Raw genomic sequence first — 24831 nt, forward strand, 5'->3', positions numbered from 1 at the left:
ATTTAAGTTGCACTGAAATTCAAACATCCAATTAATTCCTTTCATACATTTAGCTTTTTCCCATAGAGAAATTTTAAACTGTTTGGTACAATTTGGTTCCATCATCAGACAGATCTGGGTTGAATCCAGACTGCTTACTGGCTGTATGATTTAATGATATTACTTGCCTTATGGGATTGTTGTAAGGATTAGGCGAAATAAATGCCCAGGGCCTAGAACATAGAAAAGACTTGATAAATACAATCTATTGTTTTTCATATAAATTACATATATGTGTATATATGTATATACATATATATGTGTATATATGTATATACATATATATGTGTATATGTGTGTGTGTGTGTGTGTGTGTGTGTGTGTATGTGTGTGTGTATACATATATATATCCAAATATCAGATTTTTACATTATGGAACCAAAAAAATCCAAAAGTTAGAATAAAACTTTTAATTTTCATGGTACTATTATTTGTCTACATGTAGCTTACATGCAAAAAAAAGGTAAGGATACTCTTCTTTGCTTCATGTTCTCCTAGTCAGTTATTACCATATCCATCTTCCAAAAGGAAAAACTAAGGTTTTAGCATGCTTGGCATTGTGATCATATCATGTCCTACCAATTATATACATTTTTCACTAAATTCCTAGTAGCACTTAAACTCGGCCAATTTGCTTATCTGTCACCATCATGGATCCAGTTCATTTCTTTTCATGGATCATTCCTTCAGTATGGAAGGGTTTTTTACCTTATACATATCAGTATATACTTTTCATCCCCGGCAATCCTGTATTTGAAACAACTTCTACAAGAATACTTCTATAATTAAGCCTATTTCGTTCTAGTAACCTCATTATTTGACACCCTTCCAATATTTATACTGAATCAATAATCATTTGCATTAATTGTGTGCTTCTAATGTATCAGGAACTGTTCTAAGCACTTTAGTGTATTATTTCATTTATTCCTATGTAGGCTCCTTGATTAACACCCTTTTACAGATGAGGAAACTGAGGTAACACATGGTAAAATAACTTGTCCAGGACACACAACTAGACAATCATGACACTGTATCTCAACTAAGCAGTCTGATCCCCAAAACCGACGCTCTTAGCAATTAAGCACTTCATACCCTATCTTCTTTTACGCATTTTTTTATAGTAAGTCTCATGTCAGCTCATGTGTCAATGTCATGTATTGTTTCTCCAACTAGACTATAACTTTTTTTTTTAATAAGCCTGAATTGCTCTCTTTACCTCCATTAAACTTAATACAACGGTCTCTTCATAGCCTTTAGTAAATGCTCTTTAACAAACTCAGCAGTTAAGTGACTAGCACAGGACATGTGCGTGACTTGCTTTTCAGTTATTTACACCAAAAACTTCTGGGCCGAGCAAACCCAAATACCACTTCTACTATAAAACTGACTCTGATGTAATCATGAAGGGTCCACGTGTGAAAAGCTGAAGTCATTCTGTGTTGGCTTGTGGTCAACTCTCTTCTTCCAAAAGTCCTTCTGCATGGGCTTACTACAGGTACAAACAGCAGGTAATAATCCGGGACAGAAACAAATGAATCATCATTTTAATACACAAAGCAAGTGGGTGTTTTACTGACAAGCTGCCAAGAGCTACTGTATCAATGGCATATATTTCTGCTGCAAACTCCTCTGTTTGTAAAGGACCAATGCCAAATTTGTTCAGTGTCAGAGTTTCCAGGTAGGTGCCTTTGGAATCCACCGTGAAAGAAAGGAAGCAGGGGCAAAAAATGACATCAGCCTGACTCCAATGAGTATTTATGAAGTATACTACCTGAGAAGTTACTGTGAACTAGGAAGGCTTCCAAGGAAGGTATTTTAACTTAATTTTTATTTTAATGTCTATCAAAAAATTTACATCAAACATGATAAGAGATCCATTCATATGTTACATAAAATGTTGTATAATATATGCTTAATGATATAGAAAACACATACAAACTAATAAGAATATCAATTCCCCTGTGGTTAATAAACAAAAACATTAACAATTTACAAAAAAAAAAGGAAATATAGTTAGTAAATAAATATGTAAAGAAAATATTTAACCTTGGTGATCAAAGAAATATAAATTAAAACACCAGTGAAATAGTGCATAATACCAGTTAATTTATGAGGGGAAAAATTAATTAAATGAACAAATTCTGGCAAAGTTGTGGTAAAACTGGTATAGATGAATTATTAGTAGGGTATAACTTAGACAATTCAGCAATACTTATCAAAAGTCATAAAAATATGCATATTAACTAGGAATCATACTCATGGTAAATTATACCAAGAAAATAATTCAAAATATAAAAATTGTTTTGAATCTTTACTAATTAAAATACTCATTGTAAAAAATTAGAAACAACCAAAGGTTGAAAAACAGAGGTCCTAAGCATCGATTTGAAGATTTATTACCCAGACAATTAAAAAATGTAATATTTATCTCTGTAGCTACATGTCAATATTTATGACATAATGGTAAGTACATAAAGACCAATACAAAATGATATTTACACTATAATCATAACTATGTTAAACATGAATTTAACATGAATAAGTACTGTAAGAAAAAATAATTTTTAAGTTGAGTAAAATTCTGTCTAATTTGTCTTCTTTTATATTTGTATCATCATCACTGTGTTGTTTTTCTGGTTCTTGTTCTTGATTATGAAATAAATGGAAACCAATTAAAAACAATGTCTTCTAACATAGTCTGCAGTTTTCAAAATAATTTTTACCATCATATTAGCAGGCAAAAATAATCCAAATTTGACTTCTATGTTATAGCACTATATGATAATTATATCAATAGATTTCACTTATATTTATCATTTATTTTAGCAGGTATTAAAAATTGAATGTAAACATTAGCCCAAACCATCATGATAATAGGCCCTACAAAAACACTAAAGGATAGCAATCAAGGTGGGTGGCCTGGTGGTCAAGAGCAAGGTCTTGGAGTTTGAGTCCCAGCTATGCTACATACTAACTCTGCAGGATATTAGTACCTTTTCTAAAGCCCAGTTTTCATAGTACTTATCTCATAGGGTGGTTCATGAAGATCAGTTAAGGTAAGGAATATGAAGCACAGCACCTGCCATATGTGAAGTGACCAGTAAAAATAAGCAACTAAGATTATATACAATAGACTTCAAGATTCACACAACCTTTATTATTCCTTTTATTATTCTAATATACAAAGGCAGTGTTATTAGTCCATTCTCACACTGCTATAAAAAACTGCTAGAGACTGGGTAGTTTAAAAGGAAAGAGGTTTAATTGACTCACAGTTCTGCAGGGCTGGGGAGGCCTCAGGAAACTTACAGTTATGGCAGAAGGGGAACCAAACACATCCTTATTCACATGGTGGCAAGAAGAAGTGCTGAGCAAAAAGGGAAAAGCCCCTTGTAAAACCATCAGGTCTCATGAGAACTCACTGACTATCACAAGAACAGCATGGAGGTAACTGATCCCGTGATTCAATTACCTCCCACTGGGTCCCTCCCATGACACGTGGGGAATATGGGAACGATTCAAGATGAGATTTGGGTGAGGACACAGCCCAGCCACATCAGGCAGCTTTAAAAGTTGGCCTTTCCCTGACATGACCATGCTCTCTGCCTTTGATCCCTTATGCTGAAGCTTAATGCGTGATACTCCATCCGATTCTTTCCTTGGAACACTTAATACCTACCCTTTCTCCCAGTAATTGAGAACTGCTGTTCTGTAGCATTCTTATTTTGGAGATTAATTCATGTGGGTTTATGTCTCCTGATATTATACGTGCTTTTTAATTAAGTTATTATTGATTTGTTGTATGTTTCATTAACAATCTCTGTGTTCCTCTCTTCCTTATATAAATATCTGATAAATTCTTTACAGACAGGTGTATGTGGTATGCCTCTTTGCATCTGCCAGTGATTGATTGGTCCGTGTCATCTGCCAGGGGGTAACTAATTCATGTTGACATAGTGCATAAAAGCAAGGACTCAGAGCCAGATATCTGAGTCTGAATTCTACTTCTAACACTTACTGACTATGTCACTTCAGGCAATTTTCTTTGCCTCTCTATAGTTTTGTTGTATTATGTATAGAAAGGGGAAGAATCACCTTTTCCTAAAGTTCTTGTGAGGATTAAATAAATTAATATATGTAAAACAGTCAAATTATTACCTGTCCACAGTAAGTGCTATCCAAATATTAGCTATTAATATTACGATGCACATCAAACAGCAAATGAAGCAAGTTAGAGGAATGGGTGTTTCTACCTGACAGGAATGTTAGACATGAAAGCCATATCCAAAAAGTTAGAAGACCACATACAAAGTAAATATTAAAGATCTTTAATGAGCAAGCCGTCATAATGAAGTGATGAATGACACATAGTTGGAATTCGGAGAAGGGAAAAATCACAGTGGAGTGGAAAGTAGGGGAAGGAGTCACAGAAGAGGTCAAATTTGACTGGGACTTTGCAAAACAAGTTGTAAACAGGCAAGAAAAAAGTCTAGACAAAACCCTCATGTTCATTGCAGCATTATTTACAAAAGCCAAGATATGGAAATGACCCAAATGTCCACCAACAGATAAATGGATGAAGAAAATGGGAAATATACATACAATGGAATATTATTCAGCCTTAGAAAGAAGAAAGTCCTGCCATTTGTGACAACGTGGATGAACCCAGAAGACATTATGCCAGGTGAAATAAGCCAGTCACAAAAGGACAGACACTGCATGATTCCACTTACATGAGGTATCTAAAATAGCCAGACTCACAGAAGCAAAGAATAGTGGTTGCCAGAGGCTGGGGGGAGGGAGAAATGGAGAATTGTTCTTCAATGAGTATAAAATTTCTGTTATGCAAGATGAATAAGTTCTAGAGATCTGCTGTACAATATGCCCATAGTTAACAATACTATATTGTGCACTTAAAAATCTGTTAAGAGGACAGATTTCTTGTTCAATGTTCTTACTACTTAATAAAAAAGCACACATACAAAAGAACACAAGGAAATTTTTGGAGGTAATGCATATGTTTATTACCTTAGTTGTAATGCTGATATCAAGGGTATATGCGTATGTCTAAACTCATCAAGATGTATACATTAAATATGTGCAATTATTGTATATCAATTATACCTCAATAAAGCTGAGAAAGTATTTTAATATGAAGCAGATTTTTAGCCTTCATATTTCATTTCCACAAGAATGATAATAACTCATGATCACTGAACATTTCTTGGCTACCAGCTAGTGTGCTAAGCACCTTATATTTCGTATTTAAATTAAATTAATGCTGACCTACGGTAGACCACATTTCACAGATAAAAATGTTATATGAGCTTGGGCACAGTGGCTCATGCCTGTAATCCCAGCACATTGGGAGGCCGAGGTGGGTGGATCACCTGAGGTCAGCAGTTCGTGACCAGCCAGGCCAACATGGTGAAACCTCGTCTCTACTAAAAATACAAAAAATTAGCTGGGCATGGTGGTGGATGCCTGTAATCTCAGCTACTCGACAGCCTGAGACAGAAGACTCACTTGAACCCAGGAGGTGAAGGTTGCAGTGAGCCAAGACTCTGTCTCTCTCTCTCTCTCTCTCTCTCTCTCTCTCTATATATATATATATAATGTGTATATATATAAAACATATGTATATATACACACATATATACATATAGAAAACATACTATATATACACATATATAAAATATATACACATACATATATACATATATAACATATATGTATATATGTTATGTATGTATGTATATGTTATATATGTATATATGTTATATATGTATGTATATATACACATATATAAAATATGTGTATATATAATATATAAAATATACTATATATACATGTATATATAAAATATATATACATTTATACATATATACATATATAACATATATACATATATAAAATGTATATATACATATATATGCATATATACATACATATATACATATATATAAAATATATGTGTATGTGTATATATATATAAAATATATGTATTTATATAAAGTGAAAACATGGAGGCCAGGTGCAGTGGCTCATGCCTGTAATCCCAACACTTTGGGAGGCCAAGGTGGGCAGATCGCTTGAGGCTAGGAGTTACAGACCAGCCTGCCCAACATGGTGAAACCCTGTCTCTACTAAAAATACAAAAATTATCTGGGTATGGCGGCGCGTGCCCTTAGTCCCAGCTACTCAGGAGGCTGAGGCATGAGAATTGCAGGAACCTGGGAAGCGGAGGTTGCAGTGAGCCAAGATCGTGCCACTGCATTCCAGCCTGGATGACAGAGTGAGACTCCGTCTCAAAAAACTTTAAAAAAAAAAACTACATGAAGATTATATAGTGGCTCATTCAATGTCATATGACCAGTGAGTATTACAGAGGGGATTTAAACAGCTGTGCTCTCAACCACTTTACTAACATATTCTGCCAGATCTTGTTGCTCTAAATTTTTCATTGTAACTTTTTCTATGGCCTATGTCTCTTCATGTGTCTCACATCTTTTGTCACTTTGAGATTTTTTTTTATTTTGCTGTACTCCAGACACAAGTATTTTCTTATAACTGACTCTCTGATTCTTCTTCATACAGGTATGGTCTTGGCCAACATAACATGGTTTCCATCAGCTATGGTAATTTCCTTATATCTATAATCACTGTCAGAAACTCATTCATACATTCATACTAATTTCCAGATTTCATTGTAATAGAAAATTTTTTGTAGGATATATTAGTATTACATTTACCAACTTTCCCAGTAACATACATCCCATAAAATCTGACAAAAAACTGTTTATTAGCTGAAAAAATGAAACCAACTCCAATTGATTACAATCATTATTACAATATGAATACACACTGTCTCATGCAAAGTGGGAAACAAGATTGGAAAGAGGAACTGAAATGTTCAATTGACTGTCTAGTTACAGAGGGTGAACTTTATGACAGCCTTAGAGATCCTTACATAGTTTTTGAGTGGGGCAGTGAAATGCCAAAACCAGTATTTTAGGAAGATAAGTCTAGTGTTGGTGTGCAGGATATTGGAGGAGAAATAAACTACCAGATAAACATCTGGAAGTCAGTAAGCCAGAATGGAGTGTGACATTTAAAAAAGGAAGAAGCAACAGTGTGTATGATATATTGGATATTTGGCTCAAAAGCAAAGCAGAACATAAGAATCCTACCAAAACATCATTATTAGTGTGTCATGATCACGCTTATAAACTTTACAAGACACACACATACACACTATTTGCCAGTTTTTTAGCCAACTAGGAAGCTCGTTCCTATGGATTCAGCATCAACTTCCACAGAGAAAATGTCCTCCATCAGGTCCCTCCTCTACCTCCTTGGAGCTTATGAACCTAGCTGCCAGCACTCCTCCTCCTCCAGCACACACACACACACACACACACACACACACACACACACAGTTCTTGTGGTCTCATATTTCATGTAGTTTCTCCTACCAAAAGGACAATCAACTCATTCATTCAGCACCCAATAAATGGCAGCTGCTGCATCTTCACCATCTCACCAATCTTTAAGACAAGCTCAGGCTGGGCGTGGTGGCTCACGCCTGTAATCCCAGCACTTTGGGATGCCAACACAGGAGGATCACCTGAGGTCGGTAGTTTCAGACCAACCTGGCCAACATGGGGAAACCCTGTCTCTACTAAAAATACAAAAAAAGTTAGCCGGGCATGGTGGCGCAGGCCTGTAATCGTAGCTGCTCAGGAGGCTGAGGCAGTAGAGTCGCCTGAACCCAGGAGGCGGAGGTTGTAGTGAGCTGAGATCACACCACTGCACTCCAGCCTGGGCAACACAGCGAGACTCCGTCTCAAAAAAAAAAAAGACTAGCTTGTGGTCATTAATTATTATCCTTACATAACAGAAGAAGGAACTGGGGCTCAAAAGAGATTAAGGGACTGCATCAAGCACCAGAGACAGCATGAAAAATAATACTTTTCATTTCAATAACATTTTGCTGTTTGCAAAACACATTCACATTCTTCATTTCTTTGCATCCTAAAGATAATTCTGGTATCAGTGGAACACAGAGGTTTTCAGGAGCAGCTTCTAAGATAACATTATTTGAAGCTGTTAGGCCTACATTTGGGTATGGATACAGCTTTCTCTCAAAATACCAGCTTCCTCAATGTTCCCTGTAATTGACAAGATCCCTACTTCCCTAAAGAGTGTACTGACTCATCCCTTCTTCAGAACTAATCTTAAATGCTTATCCCTACCATATCTGAAATCACAACTTTGGAAAGACAAGGATGGGCAGAGAAGTAACAAAAGCAGCTAATATTCAATCCACATCCAAGATATTATCTGTTCACGGAGAAAAACCAATCTGTGTTGACGTTAACCTTTTAAGTGATCGAAATATGTCTTATTAACCTGGCTTGATACTAATGCCTGGGAATGTGTCTATCTGAAGAGTGAACTGACACTTGTGCCCATTGATTTGGTTCATAGAGAATGTTCTGATTTACGTCCCCGTCCCCACAGATTTTTTTTAAAATGCACCAAACGTTTACCTGAAGTAAACCTGATTCTTGCAAAGGGTCCAACTGTAGTTTCTTACAAAAGCTTGGCTATCTCTAATCAATTATCTCCAGATATGAAAATATCTAGGAAATTCAAGGAAGAAATCACACACATTAATTTTCCATCTAACATTTTAGTGTTTTCTTTTAAACTCTGTGTGTGCTGGGGGGAAGGACAGTAGTCTCTTTTACTACAACAAACAGGAGGGTGAAAACCTGAAGAATGCTAGCATTGGGTCACTAGCTTTATCTGCAGATAAAACCTGCACAAAACAGGTTTTGTTTTGCACCTATTTTACATATATTTTCCCCAGCTCACCAAAATAATTGTCTTCAGAGCCTATGTCCATTATTCCTTTACTGCCTTCCCTGCTATCAAGTTCTCTGAATAAGTACAGGGGCTGCAGTACAATTAAAAATAATGAGACCCTACTGGGCCAATGTCCCTGCACGCAATAAAAGGGTGTGGACTAATTGCAGGAGCAGAGATTCCCGCCCCAACTCCCCCCCGCCACCCCTCGCCATTTTGCTTCACTTTGATTGGTGGATTGGCACTTTAAATAAAGGTTTCTAATCTTCCCTGAATGAGAAGTACAGAGCAAGTCCCACGCACAGTCCTGAAAAAAATTTTAATCTTCTTTTCTTAGAACTATCTTGGTTGGCATCATCAGGCCCTGAGAGCACAGTGCATGTCAGCATCTAAGGTAAAATGGGATTTTATGATTTCCATGTGTTTCCTGTAAATTCTTTTTTTCCTATCTCCTGACAGCTTTTATAAAGAGGATTTATCTTCATTTGTCACCAGTAGCTGAATTATTGCTTGTTGTAATCCATTAGCATGTCCCAGAGATGACATGCCTAACACCCATTCAACTAAGAAAAAAAAAAAGACTTTTATTTATAGATTGTGTTTTTTTTAATGTTTTTGATTATAGTGCCTAATTCTTTTTAATATTAGAAGATGAGTAAATTTCTAGGCTATTCAGATCTCTATTCATGTAAGAATAAAGAGCTTTTTGAATTTATAGAATAAATTTTAAAAGATAATTCATTTTAGGAAGAGGAAAGCTAAATTTGAGACATATTTTCCACTAACATCAAAGAAAATTAAGATAGCCAATTTACTCTCATTTGAAAAGAAAAATTTTGTCATGGTTACGTAGATTACCTAAACATGCAATGATGTACCCTCTATTCCTGCAAATAAAGGTTTGTTATAAAATGACTTAGTTGCATTACATTTCACATGCATTTCAAAATGTGTCCCAAAGGGTAAGCAAAGTATAAACTTCTGTGAATAATACCTTATAGACCAATATTTTACTTAGTGGGAAGGATTTTTAAACTCATAATTCACTTTATGAAATGAAATATATCACAAAGAATATCGATGGAGGTTGTTCCTACATACTTATTTAGGCTGTAGATCCATTTAAAACGTGCTTAGATATTTTTTAATTGCTTGTTAATTTATTTCAGAAACTACTACATACAAATCGGTTGTTTAGTAACATTTAGTTTTTGTTTTTGTTCTTCTAACCTTTATCCCGGTGGTTTTTGTAAGAGCAGAGACTCAGGCTCATTTTCAAAAATTGTCTTTTAACCATTCTGAATAAAAATTCATCTGATTTAATTCTCCAACTTAATTATGTTTTAGATTCCACTTTTCAAAATGAAGGACCTGATACTGATCCTATGCCTCCTGGAAATGAGTTTTGCAGTGCCGGTAAGTCAGTCTTTAGAGTGTGTCCCAGAAAAGGTTATTGATTGTCGAACTCCAAACAACACTGAAGGGATATGGACTGAGAGTCCACGCATAGACTCACTTGATTTAATCCAGTGGTTTAGTCCTATTGAGTCAAAAGCCATAGTTGCTCAGATGTCAGTCTTGCAATCCAAAAGCGGTAAGTGATAGCCGGGTGCGGTGGCTCACGCCTGTAATCCCAGCACTTTGGGAGGTTGAGGCAGGAGGATGACCTGAGGTGAGGAGCTTGAGACCAGCCTAGCCAACATGGCTAAACCCTGTCTCTACTAAAAATACAAAAATTAGCCAGGCGTGGTGGTGGGCACCTGTAATCCCAGCTACTTGGGAGGCTGAGGCAGGAGAATTGCTTGAACCTGGGAGGCGGAGGTTGCAGTAAGCCAAGATTGTGCCACTACACTCCAGCCTGGGTGACGGAGTGAGACTCCATTTAAAAAAAAAAAAAAAAAGCAGTAAGTGAAGTATGATATTTCTACTAAAAAGTTATTTAAAATAGTCCCAAGACAATTTCTAGATCTTATTCCACTCATTCAAAGTTAAAAGCTTAGATAGTCTCCACAATGCATGGCGAAATTTTATTATCAACTTATTGCTATCATTATAAAGTTGAAATGGAAAGAGGAAATTTCTTTGAAAAAAATACATTTTCTTCATTTCAAAAAGAACTATCTCTAAATTTCTATGGTTACAAAACTCAGCTAGATAATTCCATTTAAAGCTAGTAATTAACTAGCAAATTTACCTTGTAAACATGAAATTGTGTGACTGAGAGCTGAAGTTTCATAAATCAAAACATATCATAGTGATGGGGCTAATTGTGTATTACAGTCCCACACCTGATCCATTCTAGTATATATTGAAATGATCTCATACAAACACAATCTTTTGAACACTGAACTACTCCAGCCAACAGCATGCAATTCTGTTATCACAAAAACTTTATTTGGCTGCTATATGCATTTAGCAAATATGTTGAGCAGCTGCCATGCATCCAGTAAATAAGACATGGAAAAATGAAAGTAAATAAGACATGATCTCTTGTCTCCAGTAGCTCACAGTTGGCCTCAAATGAACTTTAGAGTATTTTAATTCCTTGAAAGAAAAGGTTAGCTACTTGGTCTTCTTAAAGTGTTTTAGAGAAAGAGAATGGAAATGGAGAAAGAGGTTGAAAACTGATTATAATGATGAAAACCTTAATTCCACAAATAAAAATAGTCTCTGTTCCATCACGCAAGATGAATTTTAAATGAAAGAAAAATTGAGGGTGCCACCCTAGCTTACCTTTATATGATACTGACGTTGGGATGAGCCTCAGTCATTCACTATCAGTCTAACACATTGGCATTCTTTGAACCTATAATGATCCACACCTGAATCAATTGGGTCCACTCTGAGGAACAGAACAATTGCTTATTATTGCCAACTCATTGCCTGTCAAATCAGATGTTCTTCTCCTATTAATTCTGCATGGGAAATGTATCCCCTATCTGTATACATTCGTGTAAATATTCTTTAAGTCATGACTTAGAGCAGATGGAAAGCAAAGTACACTTTGTTCTGTGGCTCAATCCAGGATGTGTTATTTATGCACTGGCAAATAGTGGGGAAGAAGGTCCTGCTCTCACGATTCCCCCAAATTCTCAACAAGCTAACCACCACATACACACATACATGCACAATCACTCTTCCTGTCTACACAGCTAACCTCTTTCCTACCCAGAGTATTTGCTACACATTTGTAATGCCTTTCCCTCTATTCTTTTTTTTTTTTTTTTTTTTACAGTCTGGCTCTGTTGCCCGGGCTGGAGTGCAATGCTGAGATCTCAGCTCACTGCCACCTCCTCCTTCTGGGTTCAAGCGATTCTCCTGCCTCAGCCTCCCAAGTAGCTGGGATTACAGGCACGTGTCACCACGCCCAGCTAATTTTTGTATTTTTGTAGAGACGCGGTTTCGCCATGTTGGCCAGGCTGATCTCAAATTCCTGACCTCATGATTTGCCCACCTCAGCCTCCCAAAGTTCCGGGATTAGTCTTGAGCCACCATGCCTGGCCCTTTCCCTCTATTCTTGTCCAAAACTGAATTATTTAAAGAAATTCTCACTATGACCCAGAAGGTGGGATTTTACTTACATGAAAAAGGTGGTGGGTGGAAAAAGTAGGGGGTGTAATTCTTTAACTTCTTACTCATAAAGGAAAAATAATACTGATATATTTGGTAAACATTCCCTAAATCCTTGTGGTATAACTGAAGGAAAGACGGCATTACAACCCCTTGGTCTTAGAAAGTGAGAATATCCAAAGAACCAGAGACTCTCAAAATCCAATTTACTCTAATTCCTACTCTTCCATTCGCCATGTTTTCTACCGGTATTTGTGTAAAGTAATAAGGATTGGTTTCAAAAGAAAAATATATTTAACAAAAAAACAAAAAACAAAAGGAAAAGGCTAGGCATGGTGGCTCATGCCTATCATCCTGGCACTTTGGGAGGCCAAGGCAGGAGGATTACTTGAGCTCAGGAGTTTAAGACAAGCCTGGGCAACATAGTGAGACCCCCATCTCTATTTTTTAAAAAAGGAAGCCAGATGCAGTGGCTCACATCTGTAATCCCAGCACTTTGGGAGGCTAAGGTGGGCGGATCACTTGAGCTCAGGAGTTCAAGACCAGCCTGGCCAACATGGTGAAACTCTGTCTCTACCAAAAATACAAAAATTAGCCGGGCTTGGTGGTGCACACCTGTAATCCCAGCTACTTGGGAGGAGAATCACTTGAACCCAGCAGGCAGAGGTTGCAGTGAGCCGAGATCACGGTACTGCACTCCAGCCTGGGTGACACAGTGAAACTTAGTCTCAAAAAAAAAAAAAAAAGGAAAATATCTTACATTTTAAAAAGCTAATTGTATAGATAGGTATATTTTTGAACAACTTTTAAGTGAACACATTAAGTATAATAGTATTTTGTGCTAGAATGCTTTTTATTTAAGGGAAAAAAACCTTTGATATGATCCCAAAGTATAGTAGGTTTACACATAAAATAATCTTTCACTAAAAATGATAGGGAATTTGCTGAAGCCCTTTGAATGGGAATCCAGTTAGATTTTTCATATGATTTTTCTGAATGTCATGATCCCATGCCATGTCTTGTAAACCAAAATCATATAGATTTGTCGAAAGCACATGAAAATTCAGCTTGGGTTTGTCCCCTTTACTTTTTTCTGTGGTAATTTTTAAAGAAAATAAAGTACTAGTAGTTTTCTATTTTGTTGCTTTATTCTATTTCTCCTTGTGTGTAACTTTAAATCATATTTTGCTTTTAAAGCAATGAAGCATTAAGATGCAGACAAAGGATAGATGATGCAGGTGGGAGCAAAATTATCAAATACTATGTTGATTCTCCCAAATAACTTATGCTCTTCTTCATTCTGCCCAAGCACTCAAGTCATTTGCATAATAAACCAAAATGGTGGCCTCTCAGGTAGCCCGTATGTACTGGAGCAATATCCTACGCCCAATGGGCATTGAAGGAAGTTTTGTACCAATAAGACTCAAAATTATTCTTATTTTCATTCAGTTCTTTCCTCAGCAATCTGGAACACCGGGTATGGCTAGTTTGAGCCTTGAGGTATGTATTGTCAGAATTTTTAACATATTAACTTTACATTGGTATATTTGTGGTACAGGAGAAATATAATCGTGTGCTTCTCAGTTTTCCTAGCCAGAAGTTTGTGGCTGTTATCCTGAGGAGTGCTAGAAAAGTTATGACATTTACTAGAGCTTTGTCTTATAATTCTACTGCAGTTTTAAACTCTCAGGTGTTTTAAGTTTTAGAACATTGTTTCTATGCAAACCAAAGCAATATTAGTATTTAATGCCTTATATATAATATGCACATTAATAAAATTACTACCTTAATTAAAATACATTGCTCCATACTCACAAATAGTTTATTTTTAATCCTGCTCCTTATACTATCTTACATGATAAAGTTCTCATGAAAAATTTTGTACCTGTACAAAATTTAATTTTTTATAAGTCTGGTAAATAACATTAACATTGTACTATGATACTTCCTGCATAAGTTGTACAGTGTATTTGTCTTATTGCAGTTCTCATGTAATATATATTCTGTTTAGAAAACTCCAGCAAAACAGAAATTTTGGTCATGTCAATGAAAAATATTGACAGTTATATATAGAAAGATATTTATAAGATTATAAATTTTTCACAAGGTCTTGTGAAATTTCCATGTGTCATGGTAAGCTGGGGGCAGTCAATACCTATTTGAGCTAGACGCTTATTTCACATGGAAGCTAATTTCGCTGAGGGTTTTTTTCTCACTTTTTAGCTTAAACTCAATCCAAAGCATTCTAAATCTCTTCCCGTGAAAAAAGTTAAATTGGCATTCTGTTGAAATGGTAGCATTCTCGATAATCTATCCAGATACTTAACATTTCTTTCAATAGTTTTTATTTTTAATATTTTGAAAGATTTATTTTATGGGAAAGAGGTAGAAGTTTTATTTGTTTGTCTTGTTTGTTTGTTTCAAATTCCTCTTCTGGCTGAACTTGTAAAGGGCAAAGTAAATTAAATGGGGAGAAAGAGTCAATGAAGCAAAGTCCTCACAATTACACTTATATTTCAATGGAATGAGCTATTTTCCCATGTTTCAATGTAACCTCCACTTAAATAATACTTTTTCTCCTTTAATTAATGATAAAAGCAACTGCATTATTTTAATAGCAATAATAATAACAATGGCAGAACCAAATTTAATATTTCCACCTTTCAGTGATGATTTGTGTCTACTTTCATTTTATTAAATTGATTCACACCAAACTTTGTGTTGATAATGTCAAATATCATGAGAAATCAGTTGTGTCAAACACAGCATATGCGATAAACAGTAACCCACTTTTTTTTCTTGATAGACAATGAGACAGTTGGGAAGTCTGCAGAGATTAAACACACTTTCTCAGGTAATCATATTTCTTATTGCAAGTATTCATGGTGGTGGTAGTGTTAATATTAGCAGCAGCATTATAATTCATCAAATTTATTTATGAATAGACAATATACTAAAGATTGGAAGAACCAAGAAGTAAATGAGAGCCTAAAACAAAATAAGATACAGTGACAGGGAAAAACAAAAACAATATTGAATTTTATTGAGTTAAGAAAAGAATCTTTTCCTGCATTATTAATTTTATTATGTGGCACAAAACACAAGTGCTTAAAAAGCTAAATCTCAAACAATTTATGCAAATATTGCAGACTAGCTCAAAACGAAATTTAAGTTCATTGAAAGGAAGAGTTCACCTACCCATTTGATTTACTTATTTTATTTTTATTTATTTATTTATTTATTTAGACAGAGTGTCGCTCTGTTGCCCAGGCTGAAGTGCAATGGCATGATCTCGGCTCACTGCAACCTCCATCTCCTGGGTTCAAGCAATTCTCCTGTCTCAGCCTCCCAAGTAGCTGGGATTACAGGCATCTGCCACCACGCCAGGCTAATTTTTGTATTTTTTAGTAGAGACGGGGTTTTGCCATGTTGCTAGGCTGATCTCGAATGCCTGACCTCAGGTGATCCACCCACCTCGGCCTCCCAAAGTGCTGGGATTAGAGGCGTGAGCCACCACGTCCAGCCATACCTATCCATTTTAAATTAACCAACATCACTTTTGCTTTTGCTATATTTATGCTATGTGTTGATTTTTTAGAAAATGAAAACCAGGCCAGGAGCAGTGGCTCACGCCTGTAATTCCAACATTTTGGGAGGCCAAGGTGGGCGGATCATGAGGTCAAGAGATCAAGACCATCCTGGCCAACACGGTGAAACCCCGTCTCTACTAAAAATACAGAAATTAGCTGGGCATGGTGGTGCGTGCCTGTAGACCCAGCTACTCAGGAGGCTGAGGCATGAGAATCGCTTGAACCCGGGAGGTGGAGGATGCAGTGAGCTGAGATTGCGCCACTGCACTCCAGCCTGGCGACAGAGCAAGATTCCATCTCAAAAAAAAAAAGAAAAAGGAAAAGGAAAACCAAATATAACCAATGTTATATTTAACATTTAAATATAAGCATGTCTTTTTTTATCCATGTCTTTAGTATTCTAGATACGGCTTTGGAAAATCATTTAATTCTTTGTGGATGCACGGTCTCCTCCCACCACATTCCTCTCTTCCATGGATGAGGCCAAGAGAACATGAAACTCAACAGGTGAGTGAATAGCATCAATATGTTTGAAACCTCAGGCTTTAAAACCTCTTCTTACTTGCCTTCTTTAAGTTATGATATATTAGAAACAGCCAAGTCCTAGCATTAACAAAAAATTATTCTCGTGCCAAATAAATCGAAGCCTATAACTGCTTTTAGCGCTTAAGAAATATTTTTAAATTTAAAACTATTTGCATATTTATTTAAAATAGGAAGATACAGCCTCCAAAATATGAGACCTATATTAAAGATATCAGTAAACAATCCTCGAAAATCAAAGCAGGCTACATCCTGGACAATTTTCATTTGAATCAAGATTTCCTAAATAATTCCTCAAAGGCTGATTTCAAATGATGACAATAATCCTGGTTAAAATACCATAGCCAGGTGCGATGGCTGACGCCTGTAATCCCAGCATTTTGGGAGGCCAAGGTGGGTGGATCACTTGAGGTCAGGAGTTCAAGACCAGCCTGGCCAACATGGTGAAACCCCGTCTCTACTAAAAATACAAAAATTAGCCAGGCATGGTGGCAGGCACCTGTAATCTCAGCTACTCTCAGGAGGCTGAGGCAGGACAATAGCTTGAACCTGGGAGGCAGAGGCTGCAGTGAGCCGAGATTGTGCCACTGCACTCCAGCCTGGGCAATAGAGTGAGACTCTGTCTCAAAAAAAATTAAGAAATTTAAAAAAAAAAAACATCATGAACCCTACAGAAGTCAATAAATATATCAATCTGTTAACCATTATTGATTAGGTGCCTAATAAATACATAAACCAAATTGTGGTTTGGTAGTAAAAGCGAAGACATTTAAGAATGGCTCCAAGGATTGTGAAATTTCATCTTATCTGATTCAGATAGGACAAGACAACATATTTCAAAGTGCTGAATTGTGACATGTGAGTAATGAATACTGCGTGAGCTCAGAGAGGGGTGATGGCTGGAGAGGCAAAGCAGAGCCCCAAATTGTTGCGAGACTTCCTTGCTGGTCTGAGGAGTTTACAATCAATCTACAAACAATAGGGAGCCATTCACCAAAAGTAATTTCTACAAGAAGTAACAAAACATGGTGATTTTAACGGGGAATTTTTTCGTTTAATATATGGACTCAGAACCAAGATTTAACAGGGAATTTTAGTTCCAGGCGGTCTTCCACAGCAGGAGCATTACCACGAGGTCACATTCAGTAGAACAATAAATTATGTTAATGGTGACTGTTTCTTAACTTAATTGTTTCCAAAGTGGACTCCATGATGCAAGAATTTGATTGGCATTTTAATTAATTACCCTTTATCCTTTCATTAACTCGAAAAATATATTAGGCACCCACCATGGGCCAGGCACTTGTTAGGAGCTATGTTATGTACACGGGCTATAAAGAAAAACAAAACATATCATTCTCTCTCCGTTGACTGGGGGACAAAGATTTATAACAAATAATTATCATCCAGTGAGAAAGTGGTAAAATAAAGATACAGATACATACAGACAGCTATGGGAACTTAGAGAAGGACATGACTCATCCTACCAGGAGGTTCATGTAGCTTCACCTTTACGAGCAATGGTGGTCCCAAAGGAGGTAGGGGAGGCACACACAAGACCTCCCCAAACAACATTAACACTAACTGGTGCTTGCTATGTAAACTCAACTTCAAGACAAGTCTCCTAGCCTCCCTTCCAGATAGAAAGCGCCCCAAGCCCCTTTGTTTAGAAATTCTAGGCACCGTTGTTTAATGAGCCATCCCTTCCTAACACTCTTTTCAAATTTCTCTGCAGTATGAATATTCTTTGCCTGTGCATCCCCCACCTCTCCCATCACAGCCATCCTTGAAGCCTCAACAGCCAGGACTGAAACCTTTTCTCCAGTCTGCTGCTGCAACCACCAACCAGGCCACAGCACTGAAAGAAGCACTTCAGCCTCCAATTCACCTGGGACATCTGCCCTTGCAGGAAGGAGAACTGCCTCTGGTTCAGCAGCAGGTGGCACCATCAGATAAGCCACCAAAGCCTGAGGTACTTCCTTTCTCTTGAAGTCAGATCAGAATCACCAGCTAACCTAATAGAAGAAAACGAATTTGCAGGGCACTTTTAAATAATCGTAGCCTTCAGGCATAATACGTGATATAAATATATTCTTAATCAGTCTTCCACATCTGAGATTTATTTTTTGAGTAAAACGTAAATATCCATTCCTATCTTTTGCCATCAGAGACAGGGCATGGATTCTAAAAGATACTGTGCCTATAAAACTGGGTTTCTTAGTTGCGAAAGATGAAAACTCCCATAGGAAATAGAATAAAACCCCAGAGAAGTCCAGGTTTCCTATCACTGGTCTTTTTTGGTATTGGAAAAACTGAAAAAAGTGATTGATCCCTCAGCATAACAAGTAGGATTTTGCATTATTATCTCTCTGACAAAGAGGTGACCACTATGCAAAAAGTATCTTGTAATAATGTAGAGAAAAGTGTAATGGATTAAAAAAAAAATGAAGGTACCAAGTAACCAGTATGTTGTGGGCATTTATCATTCCCCCATATCACCCTGCCTACAATCCTATAAAAATATATATTATCAGCCTTTTTAAAGAAAGGAAGACAGATTTTGAGAAGTTACAAAATTTGCCCAGGAGTACACAAAAATTAAGTGGCAGAGCCAGGGTTCAAACCAACCAGGTATGTTCCAGTTCCAAAATTCATTACTTTCTAATCTGCAAGAGATAGCAAAGCCATGATAGATGTGCCTCATCTCCCTGCAGGTACATTTGAGTAATGTTAGTAAAAGACCATTGCAAACTCTTGGGTCATACCTCCCAAAACACTAAAAGAAAGTAAAATAATGAAACTCATTTTAATTGTTTTATTGTAATTGTAAACAAGATAAGGATGTGATCAGTTCACTTTGTCTATTTTTTTATTTTTAATGTCACTTTGTCTATTTTGTTTATTTTTTGACTGATAATTTTAATATTTATCTGTGATATAGCTCCCAGGAGTAGATTTTGCTGATCCACAAGGTCCATCAGTAAGTACAGATCTCAATGAGACACTTTCTGTATTTTATTTTTTAATTTTTATTTGTTCACTTTTTTATTTTTATTTGTATTTAACTACTTTGTTCATTTTTTACTGATAATTTTAATATTTATCTACAATATAGCTCCCAGGAATGGATTTTCCTGATCCACAAGGTCCATCAGTAAGTACAGATCTCAGTGAGACACTTCTATTTTTTATTTTTATTTTTATTTGTTCACTTTGTCTATCTTTTATTTGCATTTATCTATTTTGTTCCTTTTTTGACTGATAATTTTAATATTTATCTGTAATATAGCTCCCAGGATTGGATTTTGCTGATCCACAAGGTTCAACAGTAAGTACAGATCTCAATGAGACACTGTCTTGCAAAAACTGTCTCTATATTTCAAAAAATAAGAGTGAATTTTTTCATTGTCCCATTTATCCATGAATATGAAGTATAATGGGTTCCTTTGTTCTCTTAAATATTAAATACTTATTTTCTATACTAATCCATCTGAAAATGTGTTTCATATACCTCAAAAATTACTGTTATGGGGATGTGCCTGTGAGAATTACTTATTCTGTTTTCTACCATTTAAAGATTTTCCAAATAGCCCGTTTGATTTCTCACGGACCAATGCCACAAAATAAACAATCTCCAGTAAGTTTTTTTTAATACCACATCTCTGTTTGCAATTTACTTAAAAGTTTTTCCATTGGAAAATGCATTTTGTGATAATGATTGTATTTTATTTAGCTTTATCCAGGAATGTTGTACGTGCCTTTTGGAGCAAATCAATTGGTAAGTCCATATTCTATAAAAAGTATTGTTTTTAATTAAATTTTATCTTAAGAGCTAAAATTCAAAAATCTAGGTCTCACACAAGAGATTCCAAATAAACATTCTCTGAACACCTACATTAGTACTGAAATATTAAGGAGGCAAACTTCCTATTTGGATAATCTTGGCCAGACACACACACACACACACGCACACGCACACACACGCACACAAGGGTATTAAAGAAAAAACAAATTTTAGATCTGAATTATCCGAGTTGACTACATTTATTCCATAATGACTCACCTCTCCACTTTGCCTCTGTACACAGCATTAATATTAAGGTTTAAGTGAAAACTAAATAACTTTTAACTTTGTCTTGAGTAGATAAGAAGGTAGCTGGTTCGTAATTTGACGCAATATTTCTTTTTGAACAGAATGCCCCTGCCAGACTTGGCATCATGAGTTCAGAAGAAGTGGCAGTGAGTAATGTCTTCTAACTCTTCTTAAAATAGTGGCCAGGGAAGAACAGTCACTTATGACTGGCTGCAAGAGACGTCTGCCATGAATGTAGCCAAATGAGCATGGGACTCAGATTTTTCCACTCCAAAAACTAAGCTTAATTCTGAAGCAATATCCAAAGATTTCATCATGTTTCCTATGTAATCTTTCATTTCTGGGTGATGACTATTCTTGAGCATAGAGTTTTGCCCCATTGCTTGTAGATGAACAGAGGAGAAAACTCCCCTTGAAAGGCCGTCATTGAACTATAAACACTTCAAACCAAAAGGATACACGTGGTTCATACAGAGTTCTTGTTCTTTCTGGGACCATTTAACCCCTCAAAACATCAAATTCAACAGCATTACAAGTAATTCAGATCTCAAAATTGAAAGATCAAAAAGCAAAAGAAAACCAAGTTTAAAATGTGATTATTATAAATGTCAATGTGCATTGTCAATGAGCATATACTCTTATTATGTTATCATTATCCATGCAAGTTTAAGATTTGAGATCAATAAAGTCATACAACTTGACTTTTTCCCTAAGAAAATTTTTGCCTGTTACATCTGTTAGAGCACAAGGCAAGACAAAACAAAAGCTATATTGAATTAACAAATCACTGTCAACTACAGATCCTGTCAAGTTAACAAACACACACACATATTATCTGTGAAAGAAAAATTACATCTCAGTATTTTTGTGTGCCTTCCATGTGCCACACACATAGGAAAATACTGTAAACAAGACAAGGTAAGATTTTCGTTTTTGGCTGGGCGCAGTGGCTCATGCCTATAATCCCAGCACTTTGGGAGGCTGAAGCGGATGGATCACCCGAGATCAGGAGTTTGAGACCAGCCTGGCCAACATGGTAAAACCCCGTCTCCACTAAAAATACAAAAATCAGCCAGGTTTAGTGGCGCGAGCCTGTAGTCGCAGCTACTCAGGAGGCTGAGGCAGGAGAATCACTCGAAACTGGGAGGCAGAGGTTTCAACGAGCTGAGATCACGCCACTGCACTCCAGCCTGGGCAACAGAGCAAGACCCTGCCTTAAAAAAAAAAAAAAAAGTCTTGTTTTCAAGGAACTTACAGTCTAATGAATGGAAAAGATAGGTACAAGGGCAGATACCTAATGTCAAAATCATGGGCTAAAAGTAATAACAATTTTATTAGAGAGAAAGAGTCAGAGAGGAAGGGCAGTTAGCCCAGTCCAGGGATTCACAGTATCATCCCTGGAGGAGATGATGTGAAAGCTGAGAGAGAATGAAGAGTCAGGAGAAAGGAGAAGGAAAGAGTATTGTATCTATATAGCACCAATACAAGTGGCTGGAAGTTCAAAATTCAAGTAAGTGTTAATTGCCATCACATAGTATTAATTATTTCTATTCTGCCTCATTCCCAAAAGATTTTGTAGAGCTTATGAAAAACACACAATAAATATAACAAAAAATTGAAAGTAGGATTTAAAATGAGTCATAATTTCAAGAAAATCAGAATACAGATATGCAAGTCACACAGGCCTGCTCAATTGCTACAAACAGCCTAAGATTTTGGACCCCATATTTCTGGCAGCAAAGGTAGAAAAAGAAACATGGTCAGTGCTGGTATTCTATTTGTCCACAAGAAGAAAATATTTTAGTTACTCCAGGGAAGTCACATTTTTTTTCTTAAACTTTGTGCTTTAAAAAAATTAAAGTCTTAGCTGGGTGCAGTGTCTCACCCCTGTGATCCCAGCTACTAGGGAGGCTGAGGCAAGAAGATCACTTGAGCCTAGGAGTTCTAGACCAGCAGCCTGGGCCGTATAATGAGACCCCTAAAAGAAAAAAAAAGTACATGGAACTTCATTTGGGGGACACTGAAAAATGCCATTGACAAGATTCTCGCTCAACAAATGCAGTTATGAATTTCAGTTCTTATTTGTTTTGTGATGGTAGTACTCATTTCAACTGCTTGTTTTCTTAAAATTAAATTCAAACTCACCTTTGCCTCAAGTCTTGCTTCTGCCCTGTTATCTCCCTTTTACGGAAATCATGCCGAGATCCACCCAGATAAGTGCAGAATCCTCTTCATTATGTTTCAAAGCCAGTTTAGTGAGAAATGAGCTTACACAAAGCTATCAATCAGCCAACTTCCTATTCTCCACCAGTTTTTTAGAGATCCTTGGTGAATGTGACCAGGTATAGCTGCATGGTATAGTTAATAGCATGTGATGATGGCATCTTTGACGAATGTTTTTTTTTCCAGGGCGGGAGAGAAGACCCAATGGCCTATGGAGCCATGTTTCCAGGATTTGGAGGCATGAGGCCCGGCTTTGAGGGAATGCCCCACAACCCAGCTATGGGCGGTGACTTCACTCTGGAATTTGACTCCCCAGTGGCTGCCACCAAAGGCCCTGAGAACGAAGAAGGAGGTGCACAAGGCTCCCCTATGCCGGAGGCCAACCCAGACAATCTAGAAAACCCAGCTTTCCTTACAGAGCTAGAACCTGCTCCCCACGCAGGGCTCCTTGCTCTCCCTAAGGATGACATTCCCGGCCTGCCAAGGAGCCCTTCAGGGAAGATGAAGGGACTCCCCAGCGTCACCCCAGCAGCTGCTGACCCACTGATGACCCCTGAATTAGCTGATGTTTATAGGACCTACGATGCTGACATGACCACATCCGTGGATTTCCAGGAAGAAGCAACCATGGATACCACGATGGCCCCAAACTCTCTGCAAACATCCATGCCAGGAAACAAAGCCCAGGAGCCCGAGATGATGCATGACGCATGGCATTTCCAAGAGCCCTGACAGCTCTAAGATATTAGCTACTTTCTGTATGCACAAGCTTCCCAGCTTTGTCCCCACAGTGTACCTTTTTGCTAAAACACTTATTACCCTTCTGCAGCAAAGGCATTAAAAGCGCTAAGCATATATTAATAAATGCAAGTGGCTAGAAATAGTGTAGGTCCCCTTCTTGCTTTCAATATCTTGTTGAAATAAAATGTGTCAATTGTCTCTGTGATTTAGAAACACTATTAATAACATCAGAGCAAGGTTCTAAGGGTCTCAGCATTTGATCATCACTTTTTCTTAGCTGTCTTAAGCATTATAGAATTTCTCTTACCAGCATGACACTATTATATTCAGGAAACATGGCACTGCTTTTTTCTCTAAGCAAAGGCAAATATCCTCATAATTCTAAGCTAATTCATTTAAACTTTATTAAATGGGGATTGGTGGAAAACTCCTGACTGGTATTACTGGGTTTGGTATAATTTAATTTAAAATTCTCATTTATAGAGTATTTTATTTAATCTAGTATAAAAAATCTAGCCTATTTTAAATAAAGAATTTTTCTCACTGAAATTATCAGGAATTGTATGCTTATTATTTATATAGATTTAAATGGTTCAAGAAAAGCATACTCATCCTCTACCTTTGCTTCTCTTTAATTCATTGTATTCAATTCATTCATTCTTTCATCAGAATTTTACTGAATATTCATGTCCTGGGTGCAGTGCAAGGTATCAAAGATACAGTCCCTTCCTTCAAAGCTTACAATGGACATGACTGACAAGTAGACAATCACCATAACAAAACCCTAGACCAAGCTCAATTACTTTACATATATTATCCCACAACAATACTGTGAAATAGATACACTCAACCCCACAGCACATGTGAAAAGTGCTATGAAAAGGCCAAGCACAGGGTGCCCCTGGAGCCACAGAGAAGAAGTGCCTAACCCAGCCTGAGGGTCATCGGAGAGTCTAGGAGGAATCAGACAAGTTTTCTCAGAACAGTTTCTAGAAACGGTTTCAAGAGCGAGAGCCCTCACTCTCCAAGAGGAAGAAACAGAAAAAGAGCCATGTGGGTGTCATGTGAAAATTAGCTCATTCCTGTGAAATATAATGTGGGAAAGGGGGATGCAGAAAATGACCCTTGCTTGTCACCAGGGCTAGGTTGTATCGAGCAGAG

The 24831-nt window shown here is 36.9% G+C and overlaps 1 protein-coding gene across 1 annotated transcript, besides 1 other annotated feature; it reads left to right on the top strand.

The window, feature by feature from the left end:
- On the top strand, nucleotides 9187–24219 carry AMBN (ameloblastin). Its single transcript, NM_016519.6, has 13 exons — nucleotides 9187–9304; nucleotides 10258–10326; nucleotides 13930–13980; nucleotides 15287–15334; nucleotides 16467–16577; nucleotides 18349–18585; nucleotides 19555–19593; nucleotides 19729–19767; nucleotides 19903–19941; nucleotides 20191–20250; nucleotides 20347–20391; nucleotides 20808–20852; nucleotides 23116–24219. Exons 1-13 carry the CDS (start codon nucleotides 9290–9292, stop codon nucleotides 23659–23661), a joined length of 1344 nt encoding a protein of 447 aa, NP_057603.1. The 5' UTR covers nucleotides 9187–9289; the 3' UTR covers nucleotides 23662–24219.
- Nucleotides 16059–16264: a silencer, noted in NCBI's record as "fragment chr4:71464845-71465050 (GRCh37/hg19 assembly coordinates)". NCBI's record gives its function as "represses an EF-1alpha promoter that drives an FKBP-Casp9 reporter gene in an ReSE screen in K562 erythroleukemia cells {active_cell/tissue: K562}" and the evidence as "EXISTENCE:reporter gene assay evidence [ECO:0000049][PMID:32094911]".

Source organism: Homo sapiens, chromosome 4 (genome assembly GCF_000001405.40).
Source record: "Homo sapiens chromosome 4, GRCh38.p14 Primary Assembly".
Taxonomy (NCBI): Eukaryota; Metazoa; Chordata; class Mammalia; order Primates; family Hominidae; genus Homo; species Homo sapiens.